This window comes from Homo sapiens, chromosome X, assembly GCF_000001405.40.
Source record: "Homo sapiens chromosome X, GRCh38.p14 Primary Assembly".
NCBI lineage: Eukaryota > Metazoa > Chordata > Mammalia > Primates > Hominidae > Homo > Homo sapiens.
The window spans coordinates 45049059-45066677 of NC_000023.11; the positions used below are offsets into that span (position 1 = coordinate 45049059).

The 17619-nt window shown below is 35.2% G+C and overlaps 1 protein-coding gene across 25 annotated transcripts in view; it reads left to right on the forward strand.

The window, feature by feature from the left end:
• KDM6A (lysine demethylase 6A) overlaps positions 1-17619 on the forward strand; it is a 239592-nt gene that overhangs the window by 175871 nt on the left and 46102 nt on the right. For 6 of the 25 annotated variants that reach the window (XR_007068200.1, NM_001419809.1, NM_001291415.2 and 3 more), the window contains 9 exons: positions 2651-2744; positions 4771-4897; positions 9948-10046; positions 10189-10408; positions 10964-11098; positions 11551-11706; positions 12266-12361; positions 13589-13690; positions 14364-14759. Coding sequence is in view for 23 of the 25 variants with exons in the window: in NM_001419809.1 (NP_001406738.1) it covers positions 2651-2744; positions 4771-4897; positions 9948-10046; positions 10189-10408; positions 10964-11098; positions 11551-11706; positions 12266-12361; positions 13589-13690; positions 14364-14759 (1425 nt within the window). In the remaining 2 variants the exon portion in view is untranslated. The remainder of the gene's footprint in view (positions 1-2650; positions 2745-4770; positions 4898-9947; positions 10047-10188; positions 10409-10963; positions 11099-11550; positions 11707-12265; positions 12362-13588; positions 13691-14363; positions 14760-17619) is intronic. The other 19 variants (NM_001419812.1, NM_021140.4, XM_011543974.3 and 16 more) reach the window with 7 other exon arrangements.

Sequence of the window (17619 nt, forward strand, 5' to 3'; positions counted from 1 at the left end):
TTCCAAGAGTAAGATTGCTAGATTGTAGCATATTTGTATTCCTAATTTTTTGAGTAAATCCCCTTCCACCAGGACGTGAGTGTTCTCCTTTACTCACATCTCTACAATACTTGGAATTACTCAAATTTATGTTTGCCAGTCTTAAAGGTAGAAGCTGTTGTGTCATTTAAACTTGTATGTTCTGATTTCTAGAGGAGTATAGTTACTCACATTGTTTTTCACCTTTTATGTGTTGGATTACTTATGTCCATTGCCTGTTTCTCTGCCTATGCTTTTTGAGTCAGATCTTTACTCTTCCTTATGATTTGTGTTTTTTTGGTCATGTCCAATAAATTCTCTCCCATCTCAAGGAAACATTCTTCTACATTTTCTTCTCTTAACTTTATACTTTTACCTTTCATATTCAGGTCTTTAATGCAGTTGCTGGTTTTGTTGTATATGGTATGAGGTAGAAATCTAATTTCATATTTCCAAATATGATGCTACCATTTTTTCAAGTAGATCATTGTTTTTATTACAGTGTTGGGAGGTATATTTTAACATTTGTTAAGATAATTCATGAAGGTGGTTTTCCTAAAATTTAAATCTGATTACATTACTTGAAATCATTCAGTGGTTCTCCATTGTTTTAGGATACAGTCAGTAGTCTTTAAATGGATTAGGGAGGTCTTTGTGAAGTAGTCTTTGCATTTTCTGTCCAGCCTGCTAGTACTCTAAACTTAATATGCGCTCGTTCTTCCTCTGAGAAGTATTATAATGTTATCATACACAGCACAATATGCTTAATTTGTTTTTCTTGTATATATTTTTCACTACTGTGTAGTCTTAGCAGTTCCTGTTATGTATTAGGTGTTTAACAAATATTTATCAATTGAAGGAATTGAATAACTTGGCCCTTATCCTTGGCCTAACTATCTAATTAACTTTTTTTAGACCAGATGAGTGTTTTGGGGGAACTAGTTTAGCTGATAAGTAAAAGTTGATTTAATAACTCTGGATCGCTGGACGCGGTGGCTCACGCCTGTAATCCCAACACTTTGGGAAGCCAAGGCGGGCGGATCACCTGAGGTTGGGAATTCGAGACCAGCCTGACCAACATGGAGAAACCCCATTTCTACTAAAAATACAAAAGTAGGCGGGCGTGGTGGCACATGCCTATAATCCCAGCTACTCGGGAGGCTGAGGCAGGAGAATTCACTTGAACCCGGGAGGCGGAGGTTGCAGTGAACTGAGATCGTGCCATTGCACTCCAGCCTGGGCAACAAGGGCGACACTCCGTCTCAAAAAAACAAACAAACGAAAAAACTGATCATCTCAATAGACAGTTCTTTCAAATCTTCCTTATGTTAGCGGTGTGTGTGTGTGTAGCTCCTTAATTGTTTCCATCATTAGGACAACCCTGTAGGTAGCAAGATTGGATATTAGCTCTTGTTTTATTGCATCAGTTTTTTATTGATGTTGAATCCTAGTTTAAGTGAATTGCCTGAGGTTCATACAGCCTAGTTTTGTATTTCTACCTACTTTTTTTTGAAAATATTTGTTTGCTCAGGCAGTTATATACTGGTAATGATATGAATAAAAGCCACTTCAATCCATTGTTCTGCCAAGTATGTTTTACAGGTAATATTTATGAGCCTTTCTTTTGTTAGTTTTTTCCTTTTGTTTTGGGGGAGTTGTCTTAAGGTTTGTAACCATAGCAATAAAGAGTTTCAGTTATATTAGTACTCTTGAGAACTGTGGCTAAATGGTTTCATTTAGACATTTGCCTGTGAAATCCTAAGTCTTACAGACATTGTTAGGCTGTAACAGAGTTTTGATGTCTTTAAAATCATATGTATTATAAATATTTTTATAAGATATTTTATATATACTAGAAACTGTATCTTTAAAATTTAGATTTTTAACTACTTTTGTACTTATTTAGATTTTGTCTACAGCATTTTTGACATGTGCTTTATTTATTTATTTAGAGACAGAGTGTTGCTCTGTTGCCCAGGCTGGAGTGCAGTGGTGCAATCTCGGCTCACCGCAACCTCCGCCTCCCGGTTTCAAGCGATTCTCCTGCCTCAGCCTCCCGAGTAGCTGGGACTACATGTGCGCGCCACCATGCCTGGCTAATTTTTGTATTTTTAGTAGAGACGTGGTTTCACTATGTTGGCCAGGCTGGTCTCGAACTCTTGACCTGGTGATTTGCCTGCCTCGGCCTCCCAAAGAGTTGGGATTACAGGTGTGAGCCACCACACCCAGCCTGACATGTGCTCTATTTATTGAGTTGCTTGGGAGCTCAGTGTTTCTAGGCAGACAGATATGCACTTGGAGGTAGAATACGTCTAATGTTATTAAATAAAATTGAGACCACTTATGTTATTAAATTTCAGATGATATTGGCATTTGGAAAATTCTTAAAAGTCATACTTTAATGATACTTCGTTATAGTGAATGTCAGTTTTACTGGTGTTAGGTACTCTGGAACAAGGCTTATTACTCAACTGTCTGATGTTAAAGAAACATTCAATAATGGAATCAGCACTTTTTTCTTTTAGTTTTAAAAAATATGCTAAAACATCAGTATTGTATAATTCTTAATATATGAAGTAGTTCCTTAAAGATTATGTTAATTTTTCTCCAAATCTCTTTTTCTGTTCTTTAGAGGAAATATCATTCTGCAAAAGAAGCTTATGAACAACTTTTGCAGACAGAGAATCTTTCTGCACAAGTAAAAGCAACTGTCTTACAACAGTTAGGTATGTAATAGTATACATTTAGTGTATTATAAGTGCTTCTCTTTATGTTTTTTCCATGTCGAGTGTGGCAAATATGTGGCTCATATATTCTATTCCTTTGCTCAGAGTTGATAAAATTATTCTGAACCCAGCATATTTGTATCCTCTGCCCAGCATTGTCCTTCCCACAGTCTGTCTCAGTGTAATTCTTTAGTACAGCTGGTCCTTTTAAATTATCAAAATTACTCCCTAGTATTTAACCCAAGGAGGATTGAATACTTCGTTTGTGCCAGATATATGCTTAAGCACTTAATGAAGTTGTGATTTACCTAATGTCACTTAATGGTTGGGGAGCTTGCTTTCATAGCTTTATTAGTTATAATGACTACAAAACAATTTATCTAAAAACTGTAGAACGTCTAACACTGTGAGCATGCAGTTCTATTCTAATGTGGGACATGAGGGAATCTATTCATTTGGATGTCATGTGTAACTATCACCAAAAAGATAGTGAAAGAACTCCCCAGCCTTTAATTTTGTTGCTTAATTATTGAGTCATGTTTCTTGTTTGTATTTGATATTTGGGTTGTTTTTTCAGTTTTGTTTTTGGTCTGGGCAAATCATTTATTCTTAATTTTTAGCCAGCATTGTAGCAGTATGAATGTTTTCATAATGTAACTATTTTTACATAGTTTTAAAGTCACTTAAGCTTAGATTTTATCATTATCTTTAGATAATATACATACAAATTTAATAATTATAAATCACTGAATAAAAACAAATATTTTGACACTTTTATAACTCTTAAAAGTATAGACAACTTGAGTAAAATCCTAATGGAAAAAATTATAAACAAAACTAAGGCTTTATTATGAAGGCAATGTTTGTTTTTTCAGTCATCAAATACTTTATAGTTTGTTTGCTTATTTATTTTAGACAGAGTCTCGCTCTGTCCCCTAGGCTGGAATACAGTGTCGTGATCATAACTGCAGCCTCAAACTCCTCGGGTCAGGTGATCCCACCTCAGCCCCCCGAGTAGCTAGGGCTGCAGGCGCATGCCACCACGCCTGGCTGATTTAAAAAATTTCTTTTGTAGAGACAAGGTCTCTCTCTGTGTTGCCCAGGGTGGTCTCAAACTCCTGGCATCAAGCGATCCTTCTGCCTCAGCCTCCCCAAATTCTAGGATTACAGGTGTGAGCCACTGTGCCTGGCCTATAGTTTTATATAGGGTGCGAATATATGTAGTCAGGGCCAGTGAGGTAGGATTGTGTGTATATTTTTTAATCTGAATTATCGTTGATTCTATAGCCTTATATTTATTCCTTGGAAATAAACATTTTGTTAATGGGATATCTTGGAGATTCTTAATTGGCTCGGTGTGGTGGCTCACGCCTGTAATCCCAGCACTTTGGGAGGTCGTGGTGGGTGAATCACATGATCAGAAGATCAAGACCATCTGGGCCAACATGGTGAAACCCTGTCTCTACTAAAAATACAAAAATTAGCTGGGTGTGGTGGTGCGCGCCTGTAGTCCCAGCTACTCAGGAGGCTGAGGCAGGAGAATTGCTTGAATCTGGGAGGCGGAGGTTGCAGTGAGCTGAGATCATGCCACTGTACTCCAGCCTGGCAAAAGAGCGAGACTCTGTCTCAGGAAAAAACAAAAAACAAAAAACACACATTAATTTAGTTTTACATGGAATAGTAAATAAGACGTAACATCTTTATATTTTTTGTTTCGTAACTTGGAATTTTTTCAGATATCAAAATTAGAAAAGTCTGATTTATAATCTGTTATATCAGTACTAAAAATTGTTTTAATTTCTCTTGAATGAAAGCCCTTTGTAGCTTTTACAGTACCTTACTGTGAGAAACTGACTTTCTTAATGGCCAGAATTGGCAGTTCTAAATTTTGGAAATATGTACTCCAAACTAAATTAATAAATTGACAGAAAAGAGTACTTTTTTGGTTTGTTTTCTGCTTCGTATTCTTAAACATAGAAGAACAATTAAGTCATTTATGTAAATTTTTTTAAATCATTTACTGTAGGTTGGATGCATCACACTGTAGATCTCCTGGGAGATAAAGCCACCAAGGAAAGCTATGCTATTCAGTATCTCCAAAAGTCCTTGGAAGCAGATCCTAATTCTGGCCAGTCCTGGTATTTCCTCGGAAGGTGAGACTTACCAGACATTTATGTTTGATTTTGTCTATTCCAGCTAAGAGATTTGAATTACAATTTAAAATGTTAGTTTACATATGTAACCTGATCAGTGTATTTTCTCTTCTAAATACATTATTAACCAAGATTCCTGAAAGTTAAACAACAAGATAAAGTTTCCAAATATGGTGGTTTTTTTATAGCATAATCTGGTCTAGCAGGACGTTTCTTATTTTGGTTATTGGATTTTTATTTGATTTGAGTTACTGCTAGTTTTAAAAAAGTCTTATCCAATAGTAACTTTTAATGAAGTATTTAAATGCCTTTCCTTCAGACTTCCAGTATTTTTTTCTATATGTCTGTTTTATAAAACAGAGGATTAATTTCTCATCTGCCTGATGACTACTGGTAGTCAATGGAACCTTTATAATTTATAATTTTGATTCATGATATTTACCTTAGAATTGACATAATAGTAAATCTCAAATCACAGTTATACTTGAAATCTTACAGTGAGAAAGTGAATACATTATTAGATTTGTTGGAATGGAGAAGTGTCATGTAACAAAAATCATTTTCTGCAAGTCTGTAACCATTTCTCCATACTATTTATCCATTGAATGTCTGAATTATGCTTAGTGATGATCTGAACTATACCTCATGCATAAGTATCTGATAGATTATAGTTTTAGACTATCATCAGGTTGTATTTTGATTCCTAATCACTTTTCGCTTTCATGATATGGTGAAAAGATCAATGTACTAGGAGCCAGGACACTTAGATTCAAGTCCTGATTCAGCTACTGTTTGTGGAATTGTGGATGGTTTAGTTAAACCTTTTAAAGCCTCAAATTTTGTTTAACGTATTTAGAGAATTGTATTAGATCAGTGGTCCTCAGGGGCAGGCTATTTTGCCACTCTTGCCCCGGCCAAGGACAATTCACAATGTTTAGAGACATTTATTTCTTTCATCACAGCTGTAAAGTGTGCTACTTTCATATAGTGGGTAGAGACTAGGGATGCTGCTAAACATCCTACAATGCGCAGGACAGTCCTCTATAGCAAAGAACTGGCTGGCTCCAAATGTCAATTATGCTGTAGTTGAGAAACCCTGAGTTAGATGATCTGTTACGTATCTTCCTGCTCTAAAGGTTCCAATTTTATGACTTCTTTAGAAATTATCCTGTTTTAATTTTAAGTTTTGTTCTATTATTGTTTACATAGAATACTTGATTGTAAGTAAATTTGCCATATAATCACATTAAATTTTAATTATATGGCTTCATTTTTCCTTTAAGGAAAGTATGTTTGTATGAGACATTAATTTTAATTAATGTAATTTTAATTAATGTAATATTACTTTAATTAAAGTAATATTAATATGGTTCCTTCCCTAAAAATATTTGATTACTCATAGTATGCTTAGAAGGTTAAGGAAAAAAATTTTTAAAAACATTTGATTAACTCATTATTAACATACAATAAGAGTTGACTGAAAAGGTATCTAATTTTTGGTGAGGATTTCCTAATCCCTCCCCAGGCTTATAAAAGAGCCTAATTTGGATTGCTTCTAAATAAAGCTGGAGGGTCCAAACTTTTGTGTTTCTCTTCTACAGTAGCAGAAACTGGATTTTATTATTTTTGTATCTTTTTGCCTGACAAAGTGGCTATTCGATAAATGGATGACATGAACTAACTAAACTCCATTTGCTTTTGGAGCTAGCACTATTACTGTTAGTGTTGTGGAGTGTGAGGCTTTATATAGTGACTGTAAAGGAGGTCTGGAACTGGGAAACAGTAGGTGCCTGTCTCTTGTTTTCAGGTTTATATATGAAAATTTCTTTTAGCATAGATTAAAACGAATGTATACTAGAAAGTATGTTCCTTCTGACCTAAGATAGTTTAATACAGTAGTGTGTAGATGTCTTTTTAGTATAGGTTTTTAAATTTAAATTCTAGTTACGTAAAATTATAATGAACCATGTGTAGAATTAACTATCATAGTCATGCTGTAATTTTCAGCTTCGATGAGCAGTATTTAATCATCAGTATTTCAGTGAGCAGTATTTTATCATTTTTTTCCAGTTAACTAATTTTACATTGTAAAACATTATGATGCTTTTAATTTAATCTTTTTGGGTAAATTTTTCCAAATATACAATATACTTTTCCTGACTAAATAAAGGATACTTATCACAATTTAACTTGGTTTCGGGTTCAAGGTTATCATTTTAGACATATTATTTTCCATCTGTAATAATAAAATTCTAAATCTTTTAGACTTTTCATATTCTCTTTCACTGCCTTCTAATGTGTTGCTTCTAATCTGTTTCTTGTAAGAAACATTTTATGAATGAATTATGTTTTAGAAGTTTTTAAAGCTCCAAATGAAGACCTCAATTGTCAGTAAGAAATTTTGGGGTTTGATGACCCTCATATTTGTTAGGATTTCTATTAACCTCTGCATTCAGGTCTGTGTTGAAGATGGACTTTGCTTGTCATTTGGCACTTGTATTTCAAAGTAAAATTGTAATGTGATATTCTGTTTTGCTAGCACCAATCATTGACTGTGTTATCACAGAACTATAGAATATTACAACTGGGAGGGACCAGGGAGGTCATCTAGTTAACCTTGTAAATCCTGTCACTTCAAAGATTTAGAAAGTGGGTTCATAATCACAGATAATTAGTATGAGAGCAGGGATTAGACCCTAGATTCACCCAGGACTTTTTTAGTTACATGAGACTGTCTCAGAGGAACCTACTTTCATTAGAGGAAAAGTGGTTGATGGTTGGAGTGGGACATCTGTATCTGGGCACATTGGTTTCCTACTTTGACTTTGTAGGAATGGAATGTTAAAACATTGGTTTTGGGAAGAACTGCTTATTTCTCCCAGCAGTTAGGCAAATTTGTCTATAAATCTGAAATGGCTTTGATTTCACAACAACTACAGAAGAGCATGTTTTCTACTATCTGTTAAGCATTCCCTTTCACGCTGGTGTCTGTTTCTGTTTGGCATTGTAGCTGATCTCTTCTTATGAATTTTTCCTTCATAAAACAGTTTGTAGATGCTCTCTGAAACTGCCTTCTCTGTCTCAATCACGGACATTTCTTACATCTTTCAAACCACAGGATTAGTGATTCCTTAGGCTTTTACTTCTCCCTTTAGATGTCCTGTGTTTTTACAGCCTCTCTTCCATATGGATGAATTCCAAATCTAGATTTCAACATTTAAAGGTATCTTAAACACCAGGACAACATCTCCTATTCTTTACTTAACATTTCCCATTTTAATGTCCTCACATCATGTCAAAGTCAGCATATTTCAAACCATGTTCACCATATTCTTCCCCAGACCAGCTCTTTTCTCCTTTTACTTTTGCCAAAAGATCACCATTTTCTTTTTATCAAGGTTAAATACTAAGTTACAGCCCCCACCCTGTGAACATCTAATCAATTAATCACAAAGCCTTTATCAATCTTTTGGTTTCTTGTTTCTCTTATCTTTTTTTTCTTGCCGCTTCCAGTACTTTCACTCCAATTTTGGCCTGTTCTAAACCAGTGAATGTAGCCACCCTCTTTTTTCACTGTCCATAACTATTTTCCTTTCAGTCTGCCCTACATATTGTTAGAAAATTAATATTCCTATAAAGTGCTTTCAGTGTGCTATTCTGCTTGTTAGAAAAGCAAACTTTAGGGTAATCTTTGGCTGGATTTAAAATTCTCTACTGTTTTGTGTCTGTGCTTTCTTGTATATACATTAGGTTTTGCTCATGCTGTTCAAACCCATTTAAAACGCCTTTTCTCATCTTCTCTGCCCGAATCAGTGGTTCCTAGAATTTTAGGTTACATAAATCAGTAAAATTTCAAAGAATAATTATGAGGATAGAAATATGGTGTTTGGGCAAGTAAAAACATTAACTTTTTTTGCAATTTACTGTCAGCCAATAATATCCAAAATAAGAGAATTACAGCATAAATATTAATTCATTTATTGGAAAAACTTTATGTATGTATATGTGTGTGTTGTCTTTCCAATTTGTTTGCTTGGCAAACGTGCCATATACTGGCTGGCAATTAGGAATCACTAAATAATATGCATCTTTACATATTCAAATCCCTTACTCTTACTCTCCCCCCCCCCCCTTTTTTTTTTTGCCTTTCCTAAATCTTGCAGAATATGATGGTCTCTTCTTATCCTAAATTCTCAGGCCAATTATTGTCTATACTGGCCATTTGATATGACATCATGACATTTTTAATGTATCTTCAGTCCTCAACTAAATTGTAAGCTTCATGAAAATAGGGACTGGGTTTTTGTTTTTTTTCTTTTTCCTTTAGTGCCAAGAATAAGAAGATAATTTCAGTATTTATAATTTCAACTGTTATCTGTGTATCCATCATGTCCATCGTGTATATTCACATTAAGAAAATTACAGTCCTTGAATCGTTAATCTTACCTTGCTAACTTTACTAGTCATAAAATATTATACTTTATATTATTTTTACTTTTTACTTTATACTATTTTTGATACTTAGTTTGAGATTAACTATGTCTTACATGTGCATTTTTTTTATGAATTAAAGAATTATTGCCCTCAGTGTTGTTACTTGGGAAAGGAAAATTGAAATCTGATACAGCAAATCTTACCAACGTATATAGTGTTTTTGTTTTTAACTCTGTATTTTGACCATATAGGAAACTAGAGGTCAAGCTGTATAAGAAGAGTGGAAGAGTGCCGTGTGTGTGTGTGTGCACATGTGCATGCAGCTCTCAGTATTATAATATTGAAGTGATATGTCCCCTAATCATTTTAATAGAGTTCATTAATGCAGCATGCTTTTTAGCACCTATAAGACAGACTATAATATGGTTTGTTGGAGGGCAAATTATAATATTCATTATAGTTAACAAGTATATACATACATACACATAAATATATTAACTTATTAGGGTTTTAAAAAAATTTGCTGTGATATATAGTCCATCCTTTCAGCCGATTAATTTGTTTCAGTATTAATGGAATTCTCTTGATTTTTTTTTTTTTTCCCTTCCCTTCTCAGGTGCTATTCAAGTATTGGGAAAGTTCAGGATGCCTTTATATCTTACAGGCAGTCTATTGATAAATCAGAAGCAAGTGCAGATACATGGTGTTCAATAGGGTAAGCCTTTGTATAAAAATAGTAGTAATTTAATTGATATACAAAGATGGTTGCATCACATATAGTACTTCATAGTTTAAATCATTATAAAACCAAGCAGTTCTTCTGAGTTGACTTATTTTTTCTTAATTTCTCTTTCCAGTGTGCTATATCAGCAGCAAAATCAGCCCATGGATGCTTTACAGGCCTATATTTGTGCTGTACAATTGGACCATGGCCATGCTGCAGCCTGGATGGACCTAGGCACTCTCTATGAATCCTGCAACCAGCCTCAGGATGCCATTAAATGCTACTTAAATGCAACTAGAAGCAAAAGTTGTAGTAATACCTCTGCACTTGCAGCACGAATTAAGTATTTACAGGTAAAATTTTTAAATGGCAGTTTTTTAAAGCCACATATTTCCCCAGAACACTCAGGCAGAAGGAGGGTGGCTGGAAAGTTTGTCTAGTTGTGTTTTGATGTCTATAATCTGTTTCCATATTTTGTAAACATACCATAGCTTGTAATATTATTTTACTTTTCATTTTAAGTAAGATATGCAGTATTTTTAAAGATGCTCTTTTGCACATTTACTCTGTTGATGCATATTAATTTACATAATTTTTTTCTATGTACTGTCTACATTTTTAAGTTGTCATAGCATTTTATAGAAAACACAAACAGTCTTTCACTCTTGCTTGGAGTTTCTTGAGAAGACAGCTATGAGAACTCTGAAAACAGAGCTCAGCTTTGTTTTGATTCTCACAAAGGTTTATATTCCGGTTACCCTGTTTATACTTAGTGTCTTCTAAAGCCCCAAATTTAGAATCTATTTTCTTTTAAAAACAATTAGCTATAGCATTTAGGAAGATTTAGTGGACTTGCTCTTACTCAAGTAGGCTTGTGTTAAATTTGCTTTTTACATAATTTTTCCTAGGCTCAGTTGTGTAACCTTCCACAAGGTAGTCTACAGAATAAAACTAAATTACTTCCTAGTATTGAGGAGGCGTGGAGCCTACCAATTCCCGCAGAGCTTACCTCCAGGCAGGGTGCCATGAACACAGCACAGCAGGTGAGAAGTTGGGTTATGTTCTGCAGGTGCCCAGCTTTAAGGGTTCTTTTCAATTCTCTAGTGGTCAAGCTTAATTTACTAAGCACAGGAGGCTTTTAGTAATGAAAAGCCTTTTGATTTAATTGCAAAGGGAATCTAGATCAAAATAAAATTCCCTCTAATATGGGAAGAGATTTTGGGGTACCAACTTAGAACCTTTGTGCATTTTCATGATTTTGAAGGAGATTTCTTAAAATAATGCTACAGTGGTTTGTTTAATTTTTAAGGCAAGTTTTTCAAAGGAAGGTACACATTATTCCATTGATGAATCATTTAATTTTGATTTTCAATCATTGCAATCAGCGATGTCCACATAGCTTTGAAAAGTATGCAGCTTGTAAAGTTTTATAATTTGAAGGAATGAATTAAGAATATATAGAACCCTATTTTTGTCTTCCTTCTGTGATTCTTAGGCATGTAAACCTCATCATCCAAATACTGAACCTGTATTAGGCCTCAGTCAAACACCAATTTCACAGCAATCCTTGCCACTACACATGATTCCTTCTAGCCAAGTAGATGACCTGTCCAGTCCTGCCAAGAGGAAAAGAACATCTAGTCCAACAAAGGTATATGTTTTAGAGAAATAGAAAATCCCAGTCAAAAAAGAAGTTTCAGCTGCCCTGAAATTGTGCAGTTTGAACATTTCCTGTCCTTTATTTTAAATTTGTGGACATCAAAGAGTGAAAGGTTTGAGTTTTTCCATCCCAAACCCTTAGTATCATATTAAATATAGAAAGTAGGGATAAATTTGCATTCATCAAATCATTTTATTCATCTCCCTGCCGTTAAGATCCCAGCACACTTTTCATCATCACTTTTTACTGACATTGAAATAAATTTAATGTTGGATCTAGTGGACAGTGTGGTGTTTAGGCTAGCCGTTTGGGCCATAGTTTGAGGGTGGGCCTTTTTGGGTGGCTTATTAAATAGTCAGTAATTTTTAAATGTATGATTTCTAAGTTTAATATGCATGTAAAATTATTTTTTAAAGAATTTAATGTTATAACATCTTTTTAACATGTAAATATTCCAATTCATAGTCATTTGGCCTCCTCTAACCATTATTATTAACTGTGGATTTAACCAAATATTCTTTAATTTTTTTTTTAAATCGATTTTCCTCAGAATACTTCTGACAATTGGAGTGGTGGACATGCTGTGTCACATCCTCCAGTACAGCAACAAGCTCATTCATGGTGTTTGACACCACAGAAATTACAGGTATGTAAGATGTTTTTGACAAATTGTTTATTAAAAAGGAGTAGAGGTAGCAAACAAGTATTAATTTTTTTTTTTTTTTTTTTTTTTTTTGAGATAGAGTCTTGCTCTGTCACCCAGGCTGGAGTATAGTGGCACGCTCTTGGCTCACTGCAACCTCCGCGTCCTGTGTTAAAGTTATTCTTGTGCCTCAGCCTCCAGAGTAGCTGGGATTACAGGCACGCACCATCACACCCCGCTAATTTTTATATTTTTGGTAGAGACTGGGTTTCGCCATGTTGGCCAGACTGGTCTTGCACTCCTGACCTCAAGTGATCCACCTACCTCAGCCTCCCAAAGTGCTGAGATTACAGGTGTGAGCCACTGCACCCAGCCCTAAGTATTAATTCTTATAAGTTAAATGGCAGTACATTCAATTAAAATGCACAAAAGTAAAATGAGCCTGCATTTACCAGAATAATGAAGAGCATTCATTCTTGTTTTTAATTTCTTTTTTTTTTTTTAAACAGGACATGGTTTACACTACATAAAGTATAAATATAGGGTATATAGGGTAAAGTTTTCTTCTAACTCTGGCCCCTACCCACTCAAAATGTGGCTGGTATTACTAATTTCCTATCTATCATTCCAGAGGTATGTTATGTATGTACAAGCAAATATACATCCCCCCCTTTCTCACATGTATTATTATTTTTCTTCTTTTTTACACAAATGATAGGATTCTTATTTGCTGTTAACAACATATTTTACAGACTTCTGCATGTCAATATGTGAAGAGCTTCCTTGTTCTTTTATGGTTACATCATATTTCTTTATATAGATGTAACACCTTTATTTAAGCAGATCAGTAATTTTGGACATTCAGGTTGTCTTCAGACTTTGCTTATTCCAGACAGTGCTGCTTTTAGCATACTTGTCAATATATTTTTAAGCTTCAAGAGTTTTCTCTGTGAATACCTAAGAATACTGTATGGATGAGTAAAATTTCATGCCCATCTATTACAAAGAACTCATAGTAAATCTTGTTCAGATGAATGCTTAGTTCATTCTTATATTTCTCAAGCTTATTAAAGGACTTCATCTTGGAGTGTGTGACTGTTGGTCAGAAGACAGTGTGTTTGACCAGATAGTGGTTCTGAGTTTAGTCATTTCAGGGAAAGGTTGCTTAGAATAATGATCTTATTTCCTAAATATATCTTTGACTATATTCTCTTTTTGTTCTTCTTCTAGCATTTGGAACAGCTCCGCGCAAATAGAAATAATTTAAATCCAGCACAGAAACTGATGCTGGAACAGCTGGAAAGTCAGTTTGTCTTAATGCAACAACACCAAGTGTGTATAGCATATTTTTCCCTGAAATTTGTTAGCATTTTGAGTATTTTTATTGACTCTAATGTCATTTTAGAGCATGTTTATGTTCATTTTTACTTTCTACTGGTATTTGACAGAATTTAGTAATCTCTGTATTTTAAAATACTGGTAATTGACGGAGATTTTTAGACAAAAGCAACTATAATTTTGAAGAAGATACTTTGTATTTTATTTATTTACATGATATTTCACATGTATTCTAAGGGTTTGTTTACATTATTTAGTACTGAGGCAAGGTTTTTAGGGCTTATTTAGTTTACAGGATCTGGCATATATGTAACAGAATGAAATTTTGAGATGTCCCCTCTTTTGTGATTGAGAGAAGGACCTATAAGTTCGGGGTCGTTTTCTATAATTTTCAGCTGCTTCCTTTTGTCATTACTAATGGGATTTTTTTTTTTTGAAACCGACTTTTGCTTTTTCAAGGAAGTTTATTTTAAAATGAACAAATACAATTTCTTGTTTTTAAAGTATGTATTTCTCAACTTAGAGAAATTAAGCATTTGGGTAAAATCACACATTCCCTAATTATACATCTTCATATTCATCTGGGGATTCATAGAGAATCCCCTATAGATTCTCTTCCCTATAGATTACACAACCAGCATTTACTTTTCCTTTGTTTTTTTGACAGATGAGACCAACAGGAGTTGCACAGGTACGATCTACTGGAATTCCTAATGGGCCAACAGCTGACTCATCACTGCCTACAAACTCAGTCTCTGGCCAGCAGCCACAGCTTGCTCTGACCAGAGTGCCTAGCGTCTCTCAGCCTGGAGTCCGTCCTGCCTGCCCTGGGCAGCCTTTGGCCAATGGACCCTTTTCTGCAGGCCATGTTCCCTGTAGCACATCAAGAACGCTGGGAAGTACAGACACTATTTTGATAGGCAATAATCATATAACAGGAAGTGGAAGTAATGGAAACGTGCCTTACCTGCAGCGAAACGCACTCACTCTACCTCATAACCGCACAAACCTGACCAGCAGCGCAGAGGAGCCGTGGAAAAACCAACTATCTAACTCCACTCAGGTAATAGGAGGACTAGCTTCCTTGTTGGCTTTTCACATAAATGTTTTTACTGGGTTTTATACACTTTGAGAGAAGAAGAGAGAAGTGTTTGGGGAACTGGTTTTATAAGAATTTTGTGGCACTACAATGTTACTACATTGTGATTCATTATGTACATACATGAGTATATCTTTGTTCCCTTTGTACAGTCTCTACCGACATAGATAACTTAGCAAATTTACAAAGGAAGAAAATAGATCATATAAATCACCCAAAATGCACCATTAATTTACAGTGGCATCATAAGCACATTTATGTAATATTACTTAGTTCATTTCTGCATAAACTGCCTACTTAAGATCAGGCACTAAACTAGGTGTTAGGTATTTGCTTTAGTGGGAGAAAAAGACCAGTGAATAAGTATTTACCATAATGACTGTGAAGTGTGACTTTGGTGGGAAAGTTCTATCAGAGTACCTACGAGAGCACATAACCAAGATGTCAGAGTCTTCCAGAAGCTAGAGTTTAGGGGAGGAGAGGGCTGGTGAAGTGTGCCTAGAAGATAGGTTATGAAGAGGGGAGGGTGAAATAAGAGGCTGAGGGAGAGGCCAAATTTATCTTGAAGGCAAAGTTGATCCACTAAAGTTTTTGAAACAGAGTAATGAATTGCATGCACATTATTTTTGTCAAGGAAATGGGTCATAATGTATTCAACGTTAGCACATTCGTTAGACATTTAATTTCTAAGTTTTTACTTCTGAATGTTTATGTGCATAGTATTTCCCATATTTTGGATTGTTTCCATGATATGGGTACTCGCTGAGGTGAAACTGAAGGGCCAAAGAGTAAGTTTTAAGAAAATGCTCTCAATATGTATAGCCAAATTGCTTGTACTTTTATTAATTTACTATGAGAAATATTTGACTTAAAAAGAGAAATATTTGGCTGATTGTCGGTTAGTCTTATATTATTGATAAAACTGAAATAAGTTCTTTTTCTAAGATTTTTAAGTTTATTCTTGAATTAATATCCTTGGTGGGACCCTGATCTAAAGTGATTAGTACTTTATTCATTCTTAGAGAAATACTGAGTACCTACTAGGTTCATTTCCTACTCAAGGCTCTGGGAATACATCAATAAAGAAAATATACTGAGATGTCTCTACTTGGTGTAGGTAAATAGATAGTAAACAAATAAGCAATACATATATAACATTAGATGATGGTTGTGATTAGTGCTATGGAAAAAAGCACTAATAGAAAGGGAACAGCAGAATACTAGAGATTGGTGGTAGGAGAGTTGCAGTTATAAATCAGAAGGGCAGGGAAGGCTTCTCTGAAAGATAGCATTTGGATGAGAGTTACAGGAGTGAGCCTTGAAGCTATTTGTGATAAGATTGTTCCAGGTCTAGGGAGCAGCACGGAGCAATGGACCCTAAGGTAGGATTGTGCTGTGCACATTTGAGGAGAATCAAGGTGGCAAGCATGGCAGAACAGGACAGGCAAGGAGTGAGAAGAGAGAGAAATGTGCTCCAGCTGGAAACAGGATGGCTAAATCATGATCAGCCTTATAAGGATACTGGATTTTATTCTGAGTATCCAGGAAACCGTAGGGGGATTTTGAACAGAGGAGTGATGTGATCTAACTTTGTTTTTGACTAGGTCCTCTTTGGTACTCTGTGGATAGACTGAAAGAGGCAAAAGTAGAAATGGTATGACCATTTTAGAGATTATACCTGTAATCCAGGTTAAAAGTTGATGATGGCTCCCAGAGTGGTAGTAGTAGATGGTGGTCAGCTTCTGGGTATATTTGGAAGGTACAGCCAACAGGATTAGTTGATATAGAGTGATGTGTGAGAAAGGAGTCCCAGCTGGCCTGACCAACTAGAAGGATGGATGAAACTGGATGGTATCACCAATCAGTGAGAACAGATTGAGAAAAGAACTCAAGATTGAGCCTTAGGGCATTCCAGTGTATTAGGCTAGGAAATTGAAGAACTAGCAGAGAAGAATAGAAGAGATTGACCTGTGACATAGTAGGAGATCAAAGACAATGTGAGTGATGCCCTGGAAGCCAAATGAAGAAAGTTTCAAGGAGGAGGACATGATCAAATAATGCTCATAGGTCATATAAAGTGAGGACTGAAAACTGACCATCTGAGATATTTGCTGACATTATTGGAGTAAGGAAACTACAGGTTACAGGCAAAATTTACCCCACGACCTGTGTTTTTTATAACCCGTGAGCTAAGAATGATTTTTATATTTTTGAAGGGTTGTAAAAAAAGAATAATATATGATACTGGGTGACCCACAAAGCCTAAAATATTTGCTATCTGATCCTTTACAGAAAAGATATGCTGACCATTGGATAAGGGCAATTTCAGTGGATTGTTGGGGTGCAAAAGCCTAATTGTAGTTCGCTTCAAGATAATATAAAATCGGCAGAGAAAAACTGAAGTAGCAAGTATAGACAGTTCCAGCACACATGCTTACAGTTGTTTGGGCTACACACTGCACAGTGCCAAGGCTTCCATTTCCATATACCGTGGCATAAAAGAGAACAACAACCGGGTGTAGCTGACAGGGAAAATGGGATTAGGAGTTGTTGTCTTGTTGTTGTTTTAAATTTAAAATGAGAGAAATAACAGTAAAAGTCAATGGGAAAGATTCAGTAGAGAGGGAGAAAATGGCAAAGGAGAAAGGGGAATTGTTAGAATGGGTGAGAGGATGGGATTTTGGGGGTTCATTGTCTTTAAGCATTAAACAGTTGTTAAAAGGATAACACGAGATTTTTGTTAAAATGCCTATCATAGTTCTAAGGTATAACTGGCAGTTAATAAGTGAAAGCCTTTGTTATGATTGTAAAGCATAGTTCTATT